This window comes from Homo sapiens, chromosome 10 (genome assembly GCF_000001405.40).
Source record: "Homo sapiens chromosome 10, GRCh38.p14 Primary Assembly".
NCBI lineage: Eukaryota > Metazoa > Chordata > Mammalia > Primates > Hominidae > Homo > Homo sapiens.
In genome coordinates this window covers 121,083,457-121,107,232 of record NC_000010.11, presented here as the reverse complement: position 1 = coordinate 121,107,232, position 23,776 = coordinate 121,083,457, and the positions used below count along the sequence as shown (strand labels likewise).

The 23,776-nt window shown below is 43.7% G+C and overlaps 1 long non-coding RNA gene across 1 annotated transcript; it reads left to right on the top strand.

Annotated features, from left to right (window-relative positions):
- Window positions 1-21,425: 21,425 nt before the first annotated feature.
- Window positions 21,426-23,301, top strand: LOC124902516 (uncharacterized). Its single transcript, XR_007062319.1, has 2 exons — window positions 21,426-21,676; window positions 21,778-23,301. It is a non-coding gene; the product is annotated as an uncharacterized LOC124902516 (long non-coding RNA).
- The last annotated feature ends 475 nt before the right edge of the window (window positions 23,302-23,776 follow it).

Genomic DNA, 23,776 nt, shown 5'->3' with positions numbered 1-23,776 from the left:
CAAATAAAAGTACTTGATGAAGCAAAGTAGCCCTGTGATCTTGTGCACACCATTTAAAAGTTAGCTTGGTTTTTCTGCTGAGCTGTTTGGAATAAATTCTCAACAGCAAAAGTTAGGTCTTGAATGCTTCCTTATTTCTGGGGTCTTTTTTCTGGCTATTTCTACGTTCGTGAATCTATCTACGATCCTTGCACATGTAGTCTTTTGTGATATAGAGATGGGACTAAAAAAACATAAATTCTAATTACTTCCCAAAGTGCTTTGTGCTCTTTTAGATATGTCCATGAGTGCTGGTTCTGGATTCATGCAAAAATGCTTATTGCTTAAAAAAAAAAATAGGGAGCGGGGATATTCCCCAGGCAATTACTGCAGAAGCTGATCTCACAGTACAATAATACACGTGGTTTCTGGCCAAAGGCCTCTCTTTGTGCTACACAAAGCTGAGACTGCATTACTGCTTGTTCAGTAAGAACCGTGCTTGCTTAAACCAGTGTGTCCCTGTCACACCTGCCCTGCTGTTTATGCCTCTTTAGAACATAGAAACAATTTATCATTCATAAAACGGGACAGTTGATATTTTCTTGGTCTACTTCTTAGGGCAATTTTGAGAATAAACTAAAGTAAGGGTTATGAAAAAGTACACTAAAATACTCCCGGCCTGGTGCGGTGGTTCACGCCTGTAATCCTGGCACTTTGGGAGCCTGAGGCAGGCGGATCACGAGGTCAGGAGATCGAGACCATCCTGGCTAACACGGTGAAACCCCATCTCTACTAAAAATACAAAAAATTAGCCCGGCGTGGTGGCACATACCTGTAATCTCAGCTACTCGGGAAGTTGAAGCAGGAGAATTGCTTAAACCCAGGAGGTGGAGGTTGCAGTGAGCCAAGATTGTGCCACTGCACTCCAGCCTAGGCGACAAGAGCAAGACTCTGTCCAAAAAAAAAAAAAAAAAAAAAAAAACTCCCAAAAGTAGTTGCTACATATTATTCTTTGTAACATGGGATTGGGGGAGTTCTAATGGGGCTGAGTGATGAGTAGCTTTTTAAACTAAAACCATTTTAGGAAGTTGATAATCTGAAGTCTTCTAAAGGTGCTAGTGGAGGTCAGGGGTTGCCAGTCTTCCCCTGTCCCAGCATAGATCTCAATCACAATCCATGGGGAACACAGATTCCAAAAAACTCTGCACCGCAAATTTTCTGGGAAGTAGAGCCCTCCATGAATGTGTTGCCAAAGCTAGGATAGTACATGAACAATGGAGGCTCCCTCTGACCTGGGGTGTCTAGGACCGAAAAGGATGGAGAGGGTGATGGACCGCCCATCTCTACCTCCTTCTCCCTCAGAATAGCAGATGGGAAGACAAATGAGTGAAAACAGGTCATTAGCGGCCAGCCTGAAATCTGCTATAATTTTCTTTTGTCTTTTAAACTTTAATATCCTAGCTACTTAAAGTCTCACTAGCAAAAATTACTTGAACTGCAACTCACAAATGAAGCTGACCCACCAGTGGGTCATGATGCTATGGATGAGAATTGTTGGTATAGGGTGATAAGTAGAGCTATTTGGAAAGAAAGATTTTAGACATGGTCCACTAAGTCTAAAAAACACCTGGGAAACTACTCCTTTAAAAGAGCAAAGTATCCCTGGAATTTCAGAGTGAACTTCCATTTCTTTCCAGAAGACAGGCATAATATTAGTATTGGAGATAATATATGGGATCACATAGCTGCAGTTTCTCAATATATGTGAAAGCTTGTCCTACTTTCTGGTGCTATGCGCCTTCCCAGGGTGTTGTGCGGCAGGTGCAGATGAATTGGACATAATATGTGCTCTCCTGGAGCTCCCCACTCACAAGGAAGGCACACACATGCCTAAGCAATTCCACTGTGGCTGAATGTGGATAAAACCTATATGGAAGAGGCAGAGGGAGTTCTATGGGGGTGGAATTAGCAGGGTAGGGTAGTATGTGTTTGTACTGAGCCAGTGGATAATGTGCTTTGGAGCCCCCCTAAAAATAGGGCCTGCAATTTTACCTTAACACATTTTTACTGTGCAGAAAAAATCTTTTTTTCTTAAGTTTTTGTTTGTTTTATTTTGTTTTGTTTTGTTTTGTTTGTAAATCAGGTTAGTCTGATGGGAACACAAAACCATTGCTTGGTGCCTTCCAAGGGAGCACAAAGAAAATTACAAAGGTGTAAAATGCAGTGATTACAAAGGAGTTGAGACATGAGCTTCTATCAAATGCATGTGTTCCCTGGCTAGGTATAATCTGTTTCAGCCTTTATTATACAAATAAACACTACCAGGTGGTGGCCAGGTAGACAGAAGGGGCTTGCTAGTAGAAGCAGTGGGAGGGCTGCTAAGAGCACTCAGCTCTTTTCTTCCTTTGACAATTTTTGCCCTAAAGAAAATAACTAAATGCTTTCCTTCCTTATGACTGTAACAATGAAGTGAGTGACTAAAGGCCCCACCTCCTGGGTGTTGCCTGCCCACTGGAGGGTGGCATCATCTCACCTCTATTGTCTGGCTGGGCTTGGCCTGTGACCTGGGAGCCCAAGAGCTGGCCTGGAGCTCCAGCTAGTTGAGCAGCTGCTTCATGTGCGGGCTGAGTTCAGACTGAATCCAGCCTTTTGTCTTTCCCTGAAACTGCACAGTGTAGCCTCCTAGGCTGGAGAAGACCTTACTCCATCCAAGGCTTGCCCAGAGGAAAAAGCTGGAACAATGGCTTGCTTGGAACAATGATCTGTGGAGTGGTTGCCAGTGCCTGGTCTGGAGGTAATGAAAGTCATGACAGTGCGAGCCCTTCACTCAGGAGCTGCATGATTAATGCACCAATGCGAACACAATTGGACAGTCTCGGTTCTGAAACTGGGTCAGGGCAGGGCAGTCCCAAAGGTAGACAGGCATTGTTACAATATAGAGGCAAATAAAATCTCAGGCTTTTTAACAGTTCTGTGCCCTTCTTGGTGAAACACTACAGGAAAGGGGCTGGCGTTTGAGCTCTGAGTTTGATGGCAATATGCTAGTTGCTTTCTATAAGTTATCTGATCTGGACCCATAACAGTGTACAAAGTGGGAATATTATTTTAATTTTGCAGATGAAATGGACACTCAGAAATTAGGAAAGTTGCTTGAGACATTTGCATGAATAAGCCCAGTAGAAGAACCAGGCCCCAAATCCAGTCATGGCAGACTAACACCATTCTCTATGCTTCCTTCTACCATGACCCTCTGTGAGGGCAGAGACCAGGTCTGTTTCTGTTTTTTCTTCCATGCTTAGCCCAATATCAATTCTCCATATTTGTGGATGACCAAAGAGCTATGCTTGTGGGCATGATCTTGTGCCAAGCATAGTACAAACAGAGTATAAAATCCTATGGAGTGGAGATGCTAGAATCCAGTAGATGGGCTGTCCACAAACATGCATTGATTTTCTGCTGTCGGCAGGTACTATGCTGGGAGCCACAGTGCAAGATAGTCAGGGTCCCTCACTGCACAACCCAGGAGGCACTGCTCACAATGGAAGTGTGCAGAAAGGAGCTGGGAGAAGAGGAGTCCTCAGGTGTGGGTCTCTGAACTCCCTACTCTGTGACAGTCAGAGCATTGCTGCATTAAGCAATTTTCTCTGTTTCAGCTCCCAGTAAGATATCTTTTGAAGAGTAGATGCTGTGATTTCAAATATAATCAGCTTTCTTTTTTGTTTTGTTTTTTTGGTTTTTTTTGAGATGGAGTCTCGCTCTGTTGCCAGGCTGGAGTGCAGTGGCACGATCTTGACTCACCGCAACCTCCAACTCCCTGGTTCAAGCAATTCTCCTGCCACAGCCTCCCGAGTAGCTGGGATTACAGGAATGCACCACCATGCCTGGCTAATTTTTGTATTTTTAGTAGAGGCAGGGTTTCACCATGTGTGCCAGGATGGTCTCTATCTCCTGACCTTGTGATCCGCCCACCTCGGCCTCCCAAAGTGCTGGGATTACAGGTGTGAGCCACCACGCCTGGCCAGTCTTCTTGTTTTTTAATGCTGCTGGTTTTTTTTTTTTTTCTTTGGATGCAATTTAGATTTCTTGTTTCTTAGAAGCTGCGGTCCAGCTGATTTGCAGTGACCCATTCAAGATCACCCAGTGGTTTCTGGCAGATCTAGATCTACCCCTAGATGGTGGGGCAAAAGTCCAGGGTCTCCTGCATTCCGTCTTTTCCTTCCAAACACTGAATTGCAAGGTCTTCTCTTGGCAGGGCATGGTTACTGAAAGACCCTTTTGAGGCATCACGATGTTTGGTCTGTCTCATGAGAAAACCCAAGCTCGCTTGACAACAGTGGCAGTTTGCCAGTCCATTGAGGACTTACTATATGCCAGGACTGTTTAAGGTGCCTTCCAAGACTTATCTCATTCAGTTCCGGCAGAAACCCTATAGGAAAAGCAATATTCTTATCACCATTTTGCAAAAGAGGAAAATGAATGCTCAGTGACTTGCCCACAGTTGACCCAACTGAGACCCTGGGCAGTGAGACACTGGATCTCCCCAAGAGCTGTTTCTCCCTAAACATTGCACTAAATGCAACAATCATGCTGCCATCTTTTCTGTATACTATGTGTTTCTTCTGGGTACAGTATATATTTTTTAATCTAATGAGGCATGCTTGAAAAAGGATAGGCCTAGAGATCCTGTTTATTATTTAGGCAACAGTTTCAGTGATGACTTTCATATGAACCTTATCAGTGTCAAACCAGAGTTTACTAACACTTTGCTAACTTATAAACAGGCTCCCACACACTACTTTCATGCTTATACAAAGCAATACATGTAAACATTTCAAAACTTTTCTGGTGGGCAATTAATTTCGTTCCTTTGGGAAAATATTCGATTGATGATAATGATGCAATGCATATTTTGGAGATAAATAATATCAAAATGATAAATAATATTAAATTGCTGTATTTTAGGAATTTGTGGGTGCTTAGAAATTGACATTAAATTTTTGTTGACTTAGAGATCCATTTCTCAGCATGCTCCAAGGAGGGTTCTCAAGAATTTGAGATGGAAGAAGGGGGACCAGGCATGAGGCTTTTGGATTACTTTGAAATTCTGTGTCTTCAGGAGAACTAAAGACTTTTTTTCCAAATGTTCTTTGTTTGTTTCTAGAGTACTGTGCCACACTTTCAAGAACCCACTCTGCAGTTACTTCCAGATTTCTTTTTGGGGTTTCTATTTTCTTTTTCTTTTTTCCTCTCTATCTCTTTTACGAGCAGAAAAGATAGACTGGTAGAGGGATATGGGGAGTACATTTATCATGGCTTTACGACCCCAGTGCTTCCAAAAAAATAAGCATTCCCCTCTGAGCATCTTCCCTGGGTCTGCTGTCTGTCTGTGAAATCTTCAAAGATGCCTCTTCCAGGCATTATGACATTTTTTTTTCAGCTACATTAAGATAACGCCATTCCTCAGTTGAATACCAGACAACATTTTTGGCTAAGTTCTTCAAGGAATACACTAACAAAATTCACATCTGTGACCACTGACTTCAATGGAGCACACTGATTATCAATATCTCCCTGGATTCATGAGAGGGACTCTGGGAAAGCCATTAAGACATTTACTAATTCTTCTTTTTTCCCCCTTCCTGGTACATAGTAGAGTGGCACTTCTCTCCCGCCTTTGAAGTTAAGCGTGATCATGTGACTTGATTTGGCCCTTGAAATGTGAATGGCAGAGCCAAGAGCTAGAGCATAATTTACCACATTCTCTTTCCCTGTGCCATGGCAACCAGCAATATTTTAGAAGGTGAAGACTCCATTGGCTGGTGACGCCCTGATGATCCATGATGGATATTGATATTCACCATGGTATAAGTACTGGATGAGTGGGAGTCTAGGTCTGGATGTCTTTCCATGGGGAATTTCCCGACTTGAAGAGAGTTGGCATCTGAGGTTCCTTTCTAGTCTAAATTACCAATTACTATAAAATGTTAGTTGGAAGTTGACATTGGGGTCTTGCTGCATGGTGCCTCCTTAGTATGTTTTCTGTCTTATATTCAAAGATCTAGGTACAGATTTTGTCACTGCCTCTTATTAGCTAAGCAACCTTTATTAGCCAAACATGTAAACCCACGATTCTTGAACCCCAGTTCTGAAAATCTAAAAGGGAGGTGGCAATAAGCACAACCTATTTCATGGCAGTTTTGTGAAATCTTCAAGTCAAAGCAAGATGGTGCTTGTGGAAGTGCAGTCTAGCCCACTAGATGTGGAAAGCAGTCATTACTGTGGCATCATGCCTAGCTACAAGGGTACACATATGCCTACCAAGTCTTGGTTGCTGGGATGAACGTTAGTGTAGATGGTGCCCACGTTCTGTTTGGGTCAGAGTTTATAGTGCCTGACTGGATGGAAGAAACTTTTTCTGAACTTCGGGATTGGAGGATCCATGTCTATTCTGAATGGTGCTACTTGTAGTTGAGCTCTCTTTTCCAAACACAAGTTATGCATCTTGGCTCACCCATTTGTAAAGCACCCCAAATCTCTCCCTTCTCTGGCTGAAGCTTTATAAAGTGACGCCTTAAAATACACTGTAAGGGCAGAAGGGTTATACAAAGACTCCTGACAGTGGCACTGATCCTTTCTCCATCTGAGAGTGCTCAAGATCCCCTTCAGTCATTTGGTCCCATTATTTCCTGTCTGCGTGGTTTCCAATCCCAGGAATCAATCATTTCGGTGATTTCCAATCAGTGAGAGGCAAGGCAGAATTTACCAACTTCTGAGCTGTCTTTCTAGCAGAAAGATTCCATTTCTTGGACGAACCTCCACCAATTTCTATAAATTGATCTTTTGCTATGGAGAAATAAAAAAGCTATATGCATATATAGCTATATGCATACTGTAATAAATAGATATATATGCTTGCAATATATATATATTATAAATATATATATATATATATTGCTAAGTGGTACGATTCTATTTTCATAAACTTGGAATTGCACAGAGATCCCGAACAACTCAATTCTTCAAATCTTTCTTTCTTCTCTCCTTCTCTCCCTCCCACCCACACTTCCTTTCCTGAGACATTTTGATCAGTTATCTGCTGATCCTGGCTTTCTTTGGAGAAATAATCCACTGGACATCTTCCAAAGCAGCTCCTGAGAAGGGAATGGTGGTAACTCCCGTAGATATAATGGTCTTCTCTTCAAGACTCTTCCTTCCAACAAGCCCCCTTAGGACAGGTTGCCTTGCCATTCCGGAGTATGGTTAGAGCCTGGGCAGGGATGTCAGGCAGTAACTGAGTCATTCATAAGTCTGGCCACAGCACAAAAAGAGAAATCCTTTCTCTGCTCTGGACCCCCACCCCAGCCAAACAGTTACAGCTTATCTTTAAGAAGATTAGAGAACCTCTGGCTCAAGGCTGGCTTTCTTTCTATGCCAAAAGGCCTGGCAGATCAAAGTCAACATTACTTCACATAGCTGGTGGCTTATCTCCTGCCTGTCCTAAGACCACTGACCTCTCAATTAAGGCTTTAACAACAATTTCTCTTTGGAGAGGAAACCCTCATAGGCTGGAGGACAGTTTACACTACCAGACCTCTGGCTCTGACCCCACTGGCTGTGCAGTCTGTCATGACTGCTCACAATGCAATTAGGAGGTGGTTTTCAGTTCCCTTATAAAGAAAAAAATGTTATTTTTACTGAAAATATCTCCAAGTGTCCTAAAGCATTCTATTTTTCATATCTAATGAGGTGACAGTGGAATTTGTGAGATGACTATAACTTTATCAAGCTTTAATGCTAACACTCCTCTCAAATCCAGAGCTCTGTGGCGCGTTGAAGGAGACATTGATCATCCGAAGCACTGTATGATTAATTGATGCGTCTTTGCATATTCTTTTGCTTTCTCCAAGAAGTCTGCTCCTCACCTCCTGTATTGTTTCAGCCTCACTGGAGTTTCATTCCAAACATGGCTTGCTAGTTTGTGAGTTTTTAGCTGATTAAATTTAAATTGAACGCTAAAGAAAATTATTTTGTGCTCTGGCACTGAAAAACTCCCTGAAAGATGGGGACTTTTCAGACAGATATTCTAAGCCTCAGTGAATTATGAATATACAATTTTTTTTAAACTAGCAGATAAATTCCTTGTATTGAACGTCTGTACCAGTTACCCTGGAAGATACCATAGAAGAATATAGCATGTCTCTCCTCTTGAGAAGCTTACACTGTAATTAGGGAGATAGCAACACAAGGAGGGTGGTTGATTAAGTGTGAGACTATTGCAATAGATTAGAGCTCAGGGTCTGAGTCAGACAGATCTGGGTTTGAGTCTCAGCATTGCTCGTTATAATCTGTGCAGCCTTGGGAAAATTATTAAATGTTGTGAGCCTCAATTTCTTTGTCTATAAAACTTGGAAAAGCATCTGCAAACTATCTCACAGAGTTGTTGTAAGGATAAAATGACATAAAGCATGAAAGTATGTAGCCTAGTACATGGCATATGGTAAATAATAAGTGGTAACTGCTATTGTTTTACTATTATTTCCAGTAAATACTGGTAAATTCTGTAAAGTTGCTTATAAAAAATTTTACCGAGAGACTGGCAGATAGGAAGCCCTTTCCAGGGCACAGGCAGACAGGAACACCAGCTGAACATTGAGAGGACAACTGGTAAGCCCTCAGGAACCACTCGTTGGCAATTGATTTTATACACATTTTCCTAGTCATTCATATCTTATCTGCCTGCACTACTTGCTCAGAATTACTGAGGGAGCCACAAAGTTAGTTTGCTGTATTTGTTACAGATGAGGGTCAGTTGTCATTTCCATCATAAAATCCATGCTTCATGGATCTAAAGCTTGGAATTTAAAATGACACGGGGCTTAAACTCTACTTAACGCTTTTGATTTAAAACCTACTCAGAGAACAAGAGTTCTTAAGTCCACATGGCAGATAATACCACTGCTGCCTCTTTGGTATAAGTTACCTTTGAAAATGAATTCTATATCTGGCCTTGCACAGCCTTTTCAATGATAAATAGCTTTAAACAAAGAGTCATAAAAAATCAACACTTTCATAAAGCAAATAATCAACCACATTGGCTTTCTCTACGGGAGAATTAATGGTGTCTTGGGAAGGTTCCATTTTCATGCATTTTGATGATGACTTTTTAAAATGGCTACTTTAGAAAAGAATGCTTTAAGCAGAGGAAGGAGAAATATTTTTTACTATTTCCTTAGCCTCTAGAGGTATATATTTAATACATTTATATTTTTATATGAAATTTTATTTAAAGGTAAAAATGCATTACATGTTATATCAGTAAACATTTTTTCTTTTGGCTTATGAATCAAAGACATACTACAACTAAATGTACATCTGTTAGCAGACTGATCCTAAAGCATTTGACTTATAAATAATGAGATCAGTATTCCACAGGAAGTATCTGATAGCCCACATCAGCAAGGAATTTTAATTTTTTTGTTAAAAAAAAATTGCTCTGATTTCAACTTTGGAGATAAGAAAATGCTCAGAGAATTTCCCAAAGAAAGCTTGAGAAAGTTTGAAACACTTCCAGGAAATGCTCATGATCTAGTTGAAAATGTTAAGGCTCTATAGTGTCTAGTATCACCCTGTGACCCCTTATTTGTGGCATCCAGGTAAAGGGAACAGGATGGGGAAAGCTAACAGGGCTGCATCTTCATTTTCTTGTAAACACGGGTGTCTCCCATAGGCTTTTAGTTTCTACTTTCCAGGGCCCAGTGAACATATCTTCTTACCTCGGGCTGCCTTCAGAATTAGACCAAGATTCTAAGAAAAGCTATCAAAAGGCTTAGGCAAGGCTGATAAGAGAGCTTAGTTTCATAATTCAGCTAGTGAATTGGCTTTGACTGACTCATGCTGGTAGCAAGGGGCTGAAACTGCTCATGGAGTCTTGTGGATTTCTACGGAGATATGAAAGCTAAGGCATTCCAGTTTATTTCTGGGGGTAGATTGAAAAATAATGACGATGATATTGAGCAACTCCCTGTAGACTCGAGAGGTGGAGTCTACTGCCCACCCCTTGAACCTGGTCTGGCTTTGTGGCTTGTTTTGACCAGCAGAATGCAGCATAAGTTGTGTAAGTTCTGGAGCCTAGGCCTCAAGGGGCATGTAGGTTCTGCCTTTGTCCTCGTGGAATGTTTCAGCTACCATGTAAGGAAACCTAGGCAAGCTTACTGAATCATGAGAGACCACATGGAGAGATAAACCAAGCCGGCAGCCAGCATGAAGGCCCCAGGCATGTGTGTGATGTCACCTTCGACCCGCCAGCCCCAGCTGAGCTACCAGCTGACTGCAGCTGCCTGCAATAGTGAGCCTGACAAGACCAGCAGAATTTCCCAGTCAACCCACAGAGTCATGAGAAATAATAAACTATGGTTTTAAATCAGGGGTCTATGGGCCAAATCTGATCTGGCACATGTTTTGTAAATAAAGTTTTATTGGAACACCACCACCACACTTATCCACTGACATACTGTCTATGGCTACTCTTGTGGAGCTGCAACAGAGTTGAGAGTTGCCAAAGAGACCACATGGCCCACCAAGTCTAAAACATCACTCTTGCCCTTTACAAAAGTTTGTCTGCCCGTATTTTAAGCCACTAGGTTTTGGGGATGTTTTTGATATACAACAGTAAATAATATATAGAAGTTGGGTTATTAGTGATGGTCCTCCAGAGAAACAGAACCAATAGGATATATATTTATTTATGAAAAGATTTATTATATAGAATTCACTTACGTGATTATGGGGGCTCAGAATTCACAAGATCTGCAGTTGGCAGGCTGAAGACCCAGAAAAGCTGAGGGTGTAGTTTCAGTCTGAGTCCAAAAAGCCTGAGAATCATGAGAGTCGATGGTAGAGATTCTAAGCCAAAAGCAGGCAGGTTTGAGATCCAGGAAGAGCCAGTGATTCAGTTTGAGTCCAGAGGCAGGTAAAGTCCAATGTTTCAGCTGAAGGCAGTCAAGCAGAAGGAGTCAGGCAGGTGGAGTCAGCCCTTTTGCTCCATTCAGGCCTTAAAACTGGAGGAGACCTCAGTTTGAAGGAGGCCCACCCACACTGAGAGAGCCATCTGCTTCACTCAGTCTACTATTTCAAATATCAATGTCATCCAGAAATGCCCTCACAGACAAAGCCAGAATAATGTTTGCTCAAATATCTGGGCACCTCATAGCCCAGTCAGATTGACACATAAAATTAACCATTACATTTTGTATCTAAAAGTGAGGTGTTGCTTCACAGTCCCTTTCAGTATCTTCAGTGCTACTGCTACCTGACTCTGTCACATCCCTTCCTTGCCTGTGTGGTCCTGGCACCTTCACTTCTTGCTCAGAATGTCATCAGAGCCTCCCAATGCTTCCCCTACTTCTGCGTCTGCTCTTTCTAATAGCAACATAGCATGGGGAGGGAGCCTGTGAAATGTGAGTCAGCTCATACCACTTCTCTTGAATACCATGCTTCACATGGAAGGAGGCATCACTTCATAGCTCTATTGACCCCAGTGGTGGACATCTTAGAATAATGTAGTAGCTCTTAGTATTTCCCAGTGAATATTTGTTAATGGAATGAATAAATGAAAAAAATCGGAAACAAAGGGGCAAGACTGGTGACACCAGTCAAATAAAGCATGATGAGGAGTTCCATGTTACACGTACTTAGCACGATAATGTTGGATGTTGTAAGGACGATTGGCAGTGTAATGATAAATGAATTGTAAATATGAACATTTAAAACAACCGAAGCGGTAAGTACATAAATCATTAAAGCAAAGATAATTAAAATTGTAAAAAAAAAAAAAAGAGATAAAAGTGAGGCATTACAGGAACAAAAACACAAAATTGGTGGCATTGGCTCTGGACTAGAATGTGCACAGAAGGTGGGATGGACGCCATGGGTGGGGGCTGGAAAAAGGTGAGGAAACTGCTATTGAAGGTGGAGAAAAGTCAGCTAGGTTATGAAGTGGTGGATGATAGTCCAAACTATCATTCATGGTAACTTGGAACACAGAAAATTACCTACTGAATTCATAGATATGGCTAAGGAAGTCTCTAGACAGAATATTGTAAGTGCCACTTAGCTTCTTCTAACTGTGTATGATATGTACTGGGAGAGATGAGCTTTAGGCAGAGCTATTTAGTTTACAAGCAGAATTTAGAAAAAAATATAAAAGATCCAGGACATGGTTGATTAGAAAATAAGATGCTCTCATTTCCAACACACACACACTTCCCACCCCTGCCAGTAGAAAATTTTCAAGTGAAACAAAGTCTGAGGTTAAAAGTCCATCAAGTTTGTGGCTGCAAGATCCTTTATTAAGACCTCAGAAAACCTTAAGCTGGTGCCCAACATGCCTCTGAGCCAGACAAACAGGCTTTAAGAATCTTAAAGGAGTATCCCACAGCAGATTCACACTCAGCTCAAAATAGAGAGAGATCTGCCTCAAAATAGAATAAGGGATAGAATTTTGCAGGCATAGACTCAACCCCAATCAGAGTCAAGGGAAACATACAAAGTGTTAAAGATATTGCATTGTTAGGACTTGGAACCAATCCAAATGCCCATCAGTGATAGACTGGATAAAGAAAATGTGGCACATATATACCATGGACTGCTATGCAGCCGTAAAACCTAGATGACAGGTTGATAGGTGTAGCAAACCACCATGGCACATGTATACCTGTGTAACAAGCCTGCACATTCTGCACATGTATCCCAGAACTTAAAGTAAAATTTAAAAAATATATATTCAGGATCAAAAAAAAACAAAACAAAACAAAACCGCTATTGCATTGTTGAAATTACCCCCAACTTGGACAAAGACAGTTCAAAATGAAAAGAGTTTCTGGACCCTCAACTTTCTATAGGCAGAAGCAGGCAGAGAAAACAACTCAATTGCAAACACGTGCCATCTCTTATAGGAAAGGAAGGACAACTCAGGGGGCAGAGCCAAGATCCCTGAGAGTGGAGCCAAGAGCCAAGAACAATGGCTTATGGAACCACTCCAAAGGAGTAGAAGTGGATCCTAATCAAGGAGCATTCCATACTCCTAGAGTTGGGAAAGTGGCAATTGATGCCTGGCTGGATTTCAAAGTGCTATGGACCCGTAACCGCCATGTGCCTCCCCTTCCTCCTCTTTTTGAATGGAATTGTTTATGGTGATTATCCTGTCCCTGTTTCACCAGGTATGTTGCAAAGTAGGGGGCAGGTACCACGTCTCTTTAGTTTATAGGCCTCTGCTTCAAGGGGAGATGTGGCCATAGTGCTGCACCTGTAGAAAAGCAGCCAAGGCACCTCATCTGTATCTGCATTTAGAGGATTGAGATCCTTGACTTTGAGACCAAGACTGACACCATAATGGGATACAACCTTTGGGCAAGCAGTGAATATATTTTGTATGTGAAAACAAAGAAAATAGTTTTTGCAGCCCTTTCTATTAGAATATGGAATCTATTTCATCATGCCTTTATGCCTAGACTGGCCTCATGATTTCCTTTGGTCAATAGAATGTGGCAGAGGTGACATTAAGGAGCTCCAGAGTTTGGGCATAATGAAGCCCTGATACTGTTGCCACCATGTAAGAAAACCCGAGCTACTGAATGTTGAGGTATCACATGAAGAGAGAGGCCTGGCCAAGTACCATGGCGCCAGACAGGTAGGTAAATTAGGTCATTTTAGACCCCCCAGACCCGGCTGAGGGGCCAGCTGAATGAGGCCACACAAATGAGCCTCAGTTGAGCCTTTCAGTTGAGACTAGAAAAACAACCACCCCATCAACCCACAGAGCCATGAGAAGCAATACATGGTGGTTTTAAGCGACTATATTTTGGGTGGTTTTTCACACAGCAATAAATATCAATAAATAACTGATACACTTTCCAACTGATTATTTTTACGTTCACACCCAAGTGAAGGAAATTCAGGAAGAAAAGCATGTTCTTGCCACCTATGGGAAAGGAATTATTGCATACAGATTATAATGTAACTCCTTTCTCTCTGTTAAAGTCTACCATAGTCACAGGCACTATACCAATCTGAATGTAAATCCAGGATCATAAAAACCTATTTGGATCCAACAGCTGAACAGAAGAGTTCTAAACCCACAGATGATGTCATTTGTTTATTTTCTTTAATTAATATACACTTGTATATTTATTATTTTAAAATGAACCCAGGGACCTTTCTTCCAAATCAGGGGTAAGAGTTTCCTTCCCAGAACCTACCTGGGGAAACCTGGAGAGATGTATTTAACTCAGAAAATATTGGTTAGCCATGCCAACTGAGAAAAAAACATTAGTCAGCTGTAACAACATTGTCACTGCAATGAAGGCAAAGAGGAATTTGAGGTCATTGTTTAAGAGTGTGGCTGACTGCAATACTTGCTACTAGAAAATTAAAATACAGCTTGACGCTTGAATAAAAGTCTCCATGAGTGAACAGAGCTTTCTTCTTTTCATTGAAAAAACATATAATTCATATAAGCAGTGATGAATTTCCTGGTCACTACATTTTAACAGAATGAGGGCACATCGAAGCTATAGGAATGTTCAGCCAGCCGCTGGGGGTTTCATGTGTTTACTGGCTTCCTGCCCACAGCTGGAACTTAGGCAAGTCCTTTTGGTTTGTGCCTCTGTTTCTGTTTGTAAGAAGACACAACTTGTCCCCCAGGGCTTGGCCCATTTGAACCTGGATGTTCTTAGCATGGAAGAGCTTAACTGGTAACTCTAGGATTAAATGCCATTTCAAAGATTCCCTTGGCATTACTCATTCTTCCTTACTAGAGTTCAAGGTGCAACTCTGCCACTTGCTGTGAGACCTTGAGCAAGTTATATAACCTCTGAATCTCAGTGTCTTGTCAATGAAGAAAAATGATTCCTGTCCCCTTACCGGATGGATTGGAAGAATAGAGATAATATGGGTACAACCCCTTAAATGGTTCCTGGCATGTAATAGTACTTCTCTTATAGGGTTTTTATGAGAACTCAATAAGTTAATATTTGTAAAGCACTTAGAATACTGGCTTGCATATGGAAGAGTTTGTTAAATAAAATAAATAAAAATCTAGACTCTGTTGCAATCAATGGAGCCAGCCCTCAGGAGTTTGGCTTCCGTTGTCAAAATGAAGCACAGAGTCAAAAGCCTGATTACTTCAGATCAAGACCAGAAGTCAGAATACAAGTATTCCCAGGTATTCCATATAACCCATGCACATGGATGCCTGCTGTATGCACCAGCTGGGCACTCCAGGTTGCATCGGGGAGGATAGTAGCAGTTAAGACGAAGGAGAGATTAACAAACTGCTACTTGGGTGGCCTAAGATGGCCTCTGTTGTGGTCATTGGTGTTGCTGGCAGCACCCATTCCCCTTTCTTCCACTTACTTTAGGGAGCTACCCAGTTCCAAGGGACCCAGTGTTGGCAGAACTGCCCATCAAGGTGTGTCATCCTTTATCTGACCAAGAGCGAGCATGTGACCCACCTGGATCAATCAGAAGCTGTCTCTCCCTGGGCTCAGAATCTCCAGCTAGTGGTACTGAGACTCCTGGACACTGTGGTTCTGGCCACTCTCTGAAGCCGTTTAAAACCTCAGGGGATGGGACTTGAAAATTTGCACCTTTATCAAGGGCCCTGATGATTCTTAAGCTATGAGTTGGAAGACTGGCTTCTGGTAGCCACTGATAAAGTCCACGACCAGACTGAAGAATTACCAGAAAGTCACACCTTAAATCAACACTTTTTAAACTGCCAGCTGGTTAGTGAAATTGATCACTGGGTGGTATCCAGCACTTTTAAAATGAAACGAGTGGAATGGACTGCGGTAAAACGGGTGCAGATAATAAGATTTCATGAAACATTCACTTTTAAAAATGAAATAAGTATAATAGAGTGGAATGGACTGTGGCAAAATGGAGTACAGATAATAAGGTTCCATGAAACATTCTTTTTTTTGAGATGGAATTTCACTGTCACCCAGGTGGTAGTGCAGGGGCTCCATCTCAGCTCACTGCAACCTCCGCCTCTCAGGTTCAAGTGATTCTCCTGCCTCAGCCTCCTGAGTAGCTGGGACTACAGGCGTGCACCACCACACCCAGCTAATTTTTGTATTTTTAGTAGAGACAGGATTTCACCATGTGATCCACCCATCTCGGCCTCCCAAAGTGCTGGGATTACAGGCATGAGCCACCGTGCCCAGCCCCATGAAACATTCTTAATCAGCCAGCTATATGAGTACATCTTGATTTGCAACATAAAGTGTATTTATTAATGTATTTCTCATCTTGAGTCTTGACAACAAAAAAAAAATAGTGTGGAGGCCATGCCCTGAATTATATTTCCCAAATTTGCTTTAGGATAAGAATCCCCTAGGGAGCTTGTTAGGAATATAGATTTCTAGGCCCTCCCTCAGGCCATTCAGATTGGGTCTGTTTGGAGTGGGGTGGGATTTGCTCCTTTCTCCTCCTCTTTTTCTTTCTTTAAATAATAGGGACCCCCTGGTGATTCTTACCATTATCAAGTGGTATGTGGGGGTAGGGTGGCTGCCCTAAAAGCAGCTAGATCTACTTTTTTTCTTTCTCTTTCTTTTTTTTTTTTTTTTTTTTTTTTGAGACAGAGTCTCACTCTGTGGCCAGGCCGGACTGCAGTGGCCCGATCTCGGCTCACTGCAACCTCCGCCTCCCAGGTTCAAACAATTCTCCTGCCTCAGCCTCCCGAGTAGCTGGGACTACAGGTGTGTGCCACCATGCCCGGCTAATTTTTGTATTTTTAGAAGAGATGGGGTTTCATCATGTTGGCCAGGATGCTCTCAATCTCTTGACCTTGTGATCTCCCTGCCTCGGCCTCCCAAAGTGCTGGGATTACAGGTGTGAGCCACCATGCCCAGCCAGCTAGCTCTACTTCTGAGGGAAAAGGAAGCCATCAAGGAAGGCTGAATGCTCATTTAATTAGCAGTCGAAGTGGGAAAGCTGCAAAATCGAGATGCAGTAAAAACCAAGCCACAGAGGAGCGAGGAGTTGGAGAGCCTGTTAACCGTGACTATGACCTGAGATGACAGATCATTTCTGTCCCTTTCCTAGGAAAAAGGTACTCATTCCATCTTTCAACTCATATCTCCTCAAACTACCAAAGTGCCCTTTACGACCTACCTGTCTTAATTCCTACAAGCTCTTTAAGTACAGCTATGGAAACTGAGTCTTGCCTGGCTGGTGGAGGTTGAGGTGGGATTTGAACTGCACCAGTTTCCTGCGGTTATCATTTTTCCTCCTCTGGGATGCTGGCTGTCCCAGCAGACTTGCTCTGCTTTGTCTCCTCAGCTAGCAGCCTGGGTGTCCTTTCTACCTTTTCCAGCCTCTATCATTCTCCATGGTGACAGAGAATACTCCAGTGTGCCACCCCTCAGATAGCGGGAGAGAAGGAAGCCCATCTCTGGTCTTGGTAACCTGCTAGGAGATGGGCCTGTGGCCTGGCATGAGAGAGGCTGCTGGGGAGAGACACAGTTCCTCATCTCTGTTCAAGCTTTTATCAAAACACTGGGGAGGCAACCCAAGTCTACCAGGCCACGGTGCTTTGCCTTTGGGGCACAGCTGTTCCTCATCACCAGGGAGAACTAAGCCATGGCTTGACACAGCCCAGAAACCTGTCCAGTCTTCCTCTCCTGAAGGAGAAATCTTTGTCCCAACCCCATGGAGGCTCGAGTGGGAGGCAGGTGGCCTGGTCCTTGCTCTGCATCCTACCCAGAGGATCCAGATGCCCTTAGGGGGTAGGAGAGAGGGGAGGATTTAAGGAGTCCCCAGGCCCCCACCACATGCCCTGGCTCAGAGTTTGTCCCCTGGGACCTGACAGAAAGGATATTTGCTTCACTGTGGAAACAGCCACAGACCAGAGCCACCAAGGAGATGCCCCCTGGGTCGGGTGGGGACGGCTCAGGGCCCAGGCCAACCCTCTATAGTAAAGGAGTCTTCTTCTTTCCATCTGCCTGTTTGAAGCCTTTACATGAGACTACGTCTTGACTGAGTAGAAAGATAAATAGTATGTTTGGGGAAAATGTTAGATTAATGTTAAATTAAATATTAAAATTAAAAAATATTAAATTGAACCACTAACATGCACTGTGTGTGGGTGTGTGTTGTGAGAGAAAGGGGGAGATTGTTCTAGAAAAAGCAGCATGAAGAGACAGAAGGCGCTTTGATCTGAGAGGCAGAAGATGCCAGCCTGAGTCCTGGCTTTACTATTCCCATCCACCCTCTGCATCTCAATTTTCTTCTTATCTAAAGTGGGGGAAATAATAAAAGGCTATCTTGCATTCAACAATGGCTGGATAAATACCTACCATGTGCCAGACAACATGTGGGCACTTCGCACATACGTGAACTCAGTGCATCCTCACATACAGTTCTGTTGGGTGGAGATGATGCCCGTTTTACAGGTAAGTGTATGGAAGTTAGTTCTAGGGATTTTTGTGGAGTGTTGTAAGTAAGTAGCAGACTGGAACTCCTGGCTCATACCTCGCTGCTGCACCACGGTGGCCGAGTTTTGTACTGAAGATTGAGAAGGAAGGTTATTCACCATCTATTCATCCATTCCCTCACTGATTCAAGAGACACTTGCTGAGTGCTTACAACATTCCAGGCACTGTTCTAAGCTGGGCATATGTCAGTGAATGAAATAAATAAGCTCCTTGCTGTTGTCAAATTCCTCCCTTGTCTGGAGAAGGAGGCAGATGACAGACAATGAGGTATATAAGGTAATAAGTGCTGTGAATGAACTAAAACTGGGCAAAATGATGGGAGTAATTCAGGACCATTACTTTGCTGGGGCATGACCACTTTCAGAACAACACTGTCAAGACACAGACTGGATCCCACTGACGTAAGGAAGATGTATACTTTGCCAAGCACCTGAGTCCTCGGATGCAAAGTGTCCTGTGACTTGGGAAGTTTATCTCTATAAACACTCCAAGCTATTTGGTGCCTATCCTAGGGGTTTTTGTTTATGGTGATGAATGTGTGCCTTAATCTTCAAAAGAAGATCAGGTCATGAGATTAAGAGGGGCCAACGGACAGCACAAAATACATGGTCTTATGCCAATTTGAACTCAATTTAGAAAGTTATGCAAAGCACCATCTAAATAAACCATGCTTTTCCTCAAACAAATAGCTGTGTGTGGTGTGTATGTGCTGTGTGTGTGTGCGTGTGTGTGTGCACACATGTGTATGTATGTGCAGGGGTGTGTGTGTGCATGTGTGTATATGTGTATGCATAGGTGTGTGTATGTGTGTGCATACATGTATGTGTGTATGTGTGTGGTGTGCGGTATGTGTGTGGTGTCTGTATGTGTGTGCACACGTGTGCATGTGTGTGCACATGCATGTGTGCATGTGTGTATGTGTGTATCTATATGTGTGTATGTATGTGTGTTTGCGCATGTGTATGTGTGTATATGTATGTGTGTATATGTATGTGTGTATGTGTGTGCATGTGTGTGTGCACATGTTTGTATATATGCATATGTGTGTGGTATGTGTGTATGTGTAGGTATGTGTGTGTGTATGTGTGTTTGTGTGTGTGTGTGTGTGTGTGTGTGTGTGCTTTGTGTGCAGGTGAGTAGTCTTTCTTCCGGTTGGCAGAAGTTGCTTTGTGGCCAGAAGGCATCACTAAGCTTTGGATGTCACCCACGTTCCCACAGTGTCATGCCTACTGTCATTGAGATGTAGAAAGAACCACTCAAGAGCTGAAGATGGGGGACATTAGGATCTTGGGGAGCAGGGCTCAACTGGACTCTGGTGTCCACCAGCCCCAGCAGCAGGGCTGGCCTCCCCCCGCCTCACAGACCCTCGCCACAGTCGTCGGGCCTTGTCTGTATCACAGGAGCAGAGAACTCTTGGTTACATGCCAAACCCAGGTCTCATCATTCATTGTCTTTGGCCTTATTTATGGTTTCCTGTTATCTCTGTGGCCCTGGAAAATACCAAAGAAGAGTACGGGCAGCGTGGTTCTCATTTTCACTCAGCAGTTCGCATTTTCAGCGTCCACTGCTGATTATGCAAAAAGGGTTTTCACGCTAGGCAGGACCTGAGAAATCAGGTTGTTCAGCAGTTTTATTTAATTGATTTATGCATTTAACTATTTAATTACTTAATGTGTTTTTGGCCGCCAACCCGTTTGTTAAAGCAAAATTTCATGCAGAGCTCTAAGATATAAAACAGATACAAGTGGATCAGGGATCCATCCGGAGTCCCTCCTTATGCCCTTGACCCTCTAGGGGCAACCTCTAGGGAGGCCCTTGAAGTGCCCCAGCTCATCCCAGCCCGGTTTGGAATGTGCCCAACTCATTCAAACCCCCTCCTGTACAACAGGGCTGGCCTTGTTCACGTGGCAAGTTGGTAGAACAATTTCGTGCAAAAAATAAAACACAGGAAAGTAGTAGTAAAACTTGGAAATGGCTACCGAGGTGGTGGGGGGTCATGGCAGGACCCAGAGGTTGGCCTGGGAAATGTGATCACCTGGGTGAGAGGGAAGCAGCCGTCCCAACTGCCAAGGAGCTCCATGTGCACAGCACACGAGCTCCTGGAACTCTTGGAGTGAGAGCGTGATGACAGCTCAGTACTGCATTTATCCCCAGGTGCTCTTATGAATGTGATAGGTTTTGATACTTTTATTTAACTGGAAGCAGTCAGTCTGGTGCACATGAAGCAAGGATGATGGGTCAGCTGTCAGACCCCCAGGGCCACATCTCCTTTTCCCACCAAGAGCGCTCCTGGCCTCCCCAAGGTGTGGGGGCAGAGTGCCAGCCTCACTCTCAGGGCCCATCTCGAGATGCTCTGGGAGTCATCTGAGAGTAACAACTTTTTGGAAAGGTTTTAGTCACCCCAAAAGGCCAACTGGGAGAACGTGCTCTGGGCTGGGAGGCTGGGGGCAGAGAGGTGACAAACTGGGGTAGAACAGCTGTGTGCCCAGGGTCAGTTGCTTAACCTCTCTGGGTCTTAGTTTTCTCATTTGTAAAATGAAGTTGGCAGCAATAGGGTCTACCTTTCAGGGTCAATGTGAGGAATAGATGAGGCAAATCCTATAAAGTGCTTACGATAGTGGCCAGCCTGTGCATAGTAAGTCCCTACGTGCCAGTGGCTGTTACTGTCCCTGCCCTGTAGGCATCGTAACCCCAGACCTGGAGAGGCTCCTCCCCAACATCTCACTAAAGGAAGCCACATTGCACTAGCTGCATGGAGAGCATCTTCTGAAGACTTTCCACTAAGAAGCCTTGAATTCTTCCTAAGTGCCAGGCACTTTCTGCTGAACCTGCTGTCTGCATCTGTCACTGAATCTCACACAGTCTTGTGAGATGGGCACTGTTTTTGCCCTGTTGTTGATGAGAAACCCAAAGCTTGGGCAATTTTAGGAACTTGCCCAAGGCCACACAGCCAGTAAACAGGGGAGCCAGGACTAAAACCCCGGGATCTGATTCCTCTCTATTTTTGTTTGCTTGTTGTATTTGTTTTCTTTTGCTTCATTTTTTCAGATCCAGGACACAGGCACCAGTAGAGAACAGCGGATGCTGCTCAACATGAGATGCCAAAATGCAACATGGGGACAACCTGGCAGCCACAGAGGGGCATGCAATTCAGATGGGCAGAAGCCTGCATACACCCCCCAGGGGTACCAGGAACCACTCCAGTAGGCCTGAGTCCAGTGGCCGGAAGAAGGCCACAGCCACAATGGGCGGGGCTGGGGAACTTCTTTTTTCGGTGCAATTTACCAAACTCTTCCTCCTACAGATTCTGGCGTGGACACCCTGCTTCCTTGTGAACCAACAGCCCTCTTAACCTCTCTGCAATTTAGAATCGTCCTCTACAAAATGGGAATGCTACTTCCTGGCATACGGTTTTATGCCATCCAGAATTTAATGAGATGCCGAATGTCTGCTGCATGTTTTTGTAATGTACATGTAGTATACGTTCCGTGTGCCATACAGCACTATAAGGACTGCAAATACAATGACAGGGGAAGGCTACATTCTTACCATCTTAGCTGAACAGAGTTTTTGCTGTGTCGCCAGAGGAACTTGAGAAAAGATAGAAAACTCTCATTTGTTTTTTAGTAGAAATAATGATTGTGCTGAATGCTGATTCATAATGACCCTTTGGACAGAAGAGAGGGAAGCTCAGAGAGGTTAGGTGTCGTGCTGAGGGTCACTGGCTCTGCTTGTAAGTGACAGAGCTCAGATTTAGCCCAGATCTGCAGAGGAGCCTCCAGAAGACTCCACTACACCCCATGATCCCACGGAGCTCTGGATATTTACAAAAAGAAATAGCAAAGGTGATTGGATGGCTTGGTGCTTGTCCATCCTTTTCACCCTTGGATTGCCTTGGCTTATCAAGGTGCTTGGTGCGCAGTAGCCATGAAGAGGATCTGTTAACTGGTACCGAAGCATGAGACACCTCGGCCTGCCCATTGTTCTGTGCCCTCTGCCCTCCAACCAGGACTCACACCTCCGGAGTGGTTCCTGGGACTCCCCGAGGAGACAGTTGTCAGGTTCCTTCTGCTCAGCTGAACTGCATACCCATCTTTAGCAGCCAAGATGATGGTGACCTGGGAATCCTCCTGCTTACAGCGGCAGTGCCTGTGGAAAGTACTACAGAAAGGCATCTCTCTCCCTGGCTTAGCCCTGTGGATGGGCTCATTTTCCAGCTCTCTCTGCCAACGGGCTGACTCTATGGTTGATTAGGGTAATGAGGCTTATGCAGGCTTCCTCTGTCCCTCCCCATGTCCTTGGCTCTGAAAGTTAGCCCTCTGTCTATCAATACTGTCTGGCACCAGAAGAAAGCCCCTCTCCCTTCCTGTACCCAGCATCTGGTTGCCTGGAAACCAGGACAGAAGCCTAGAGCATCTTGGTTTTCTTTTTTATTTCCCTGCCAGGTCCCAAAAGCAAGCAGTATTTGTTTTAAGCAGAACCTTTGCACCACGGAGGCTTGACTTAACCTTGCCCAGAATGATTTCATCAACCTGCGTAAATGTGATGCGGAGAGACAAGGGACAGCCACTCCAGGCTCAGTGTCATTTGGTTATCAGTATGCAAAGTCGTAATTAACAGCAAAGGCTGAAGATGGATTGTTTCAGAGGGAGCCAGGACTAGAATCAACTTGTGTGTGCGTGAGTGTGCGTGTGTATGCATGTGTGTGTGCCCATGCACATGTGTTAAAATTGGCAGCTTTGTAAATTGAAGCTTGCTGTAGCCACATGCAGAAAGGACGAGAGATTTTTCTTTTTCCAAAAGAATAAAAGCCTGTCTTGAAAATAAATGTCCTTCTGACTTTGCTTGACAAAAGCCACACAATTCAGGGTAAAAGTGCTAAGACTCCGCTTGGCTTATTCCCTACTGTGCCTCAACAGGAAGGGTGATCATCTTCAGACAGACCCATAGAAGAAGCAAGGATTTTAAAAGTCACAGATAGGGAGGGAACTCCTCACCCCCGCCCGCATCCTTTGGCCTAACACTGAGAGGGTCAGCCAGATTTAGACCCAAACCACGCACCTGTTGCCTCCAATGTGTCCTTGCTCATGCCACTTGGCTGTTGTATGTTCCCAGACTGAAAGGCATTACATTTGTGGTGCATGGATTGGATTTTCTCTCTTTTCAAGATTCCCCAAATATAAAATCTTCTGAGAAGCTGTCAAATCAGGCCTCATAGAGAAAGCCACTTCCTAGGGTTTATGAGCTACACATCCAGCCCTTCACTGCACCTTGGTACCATAAGTGATCCCCCATTGTAAGGA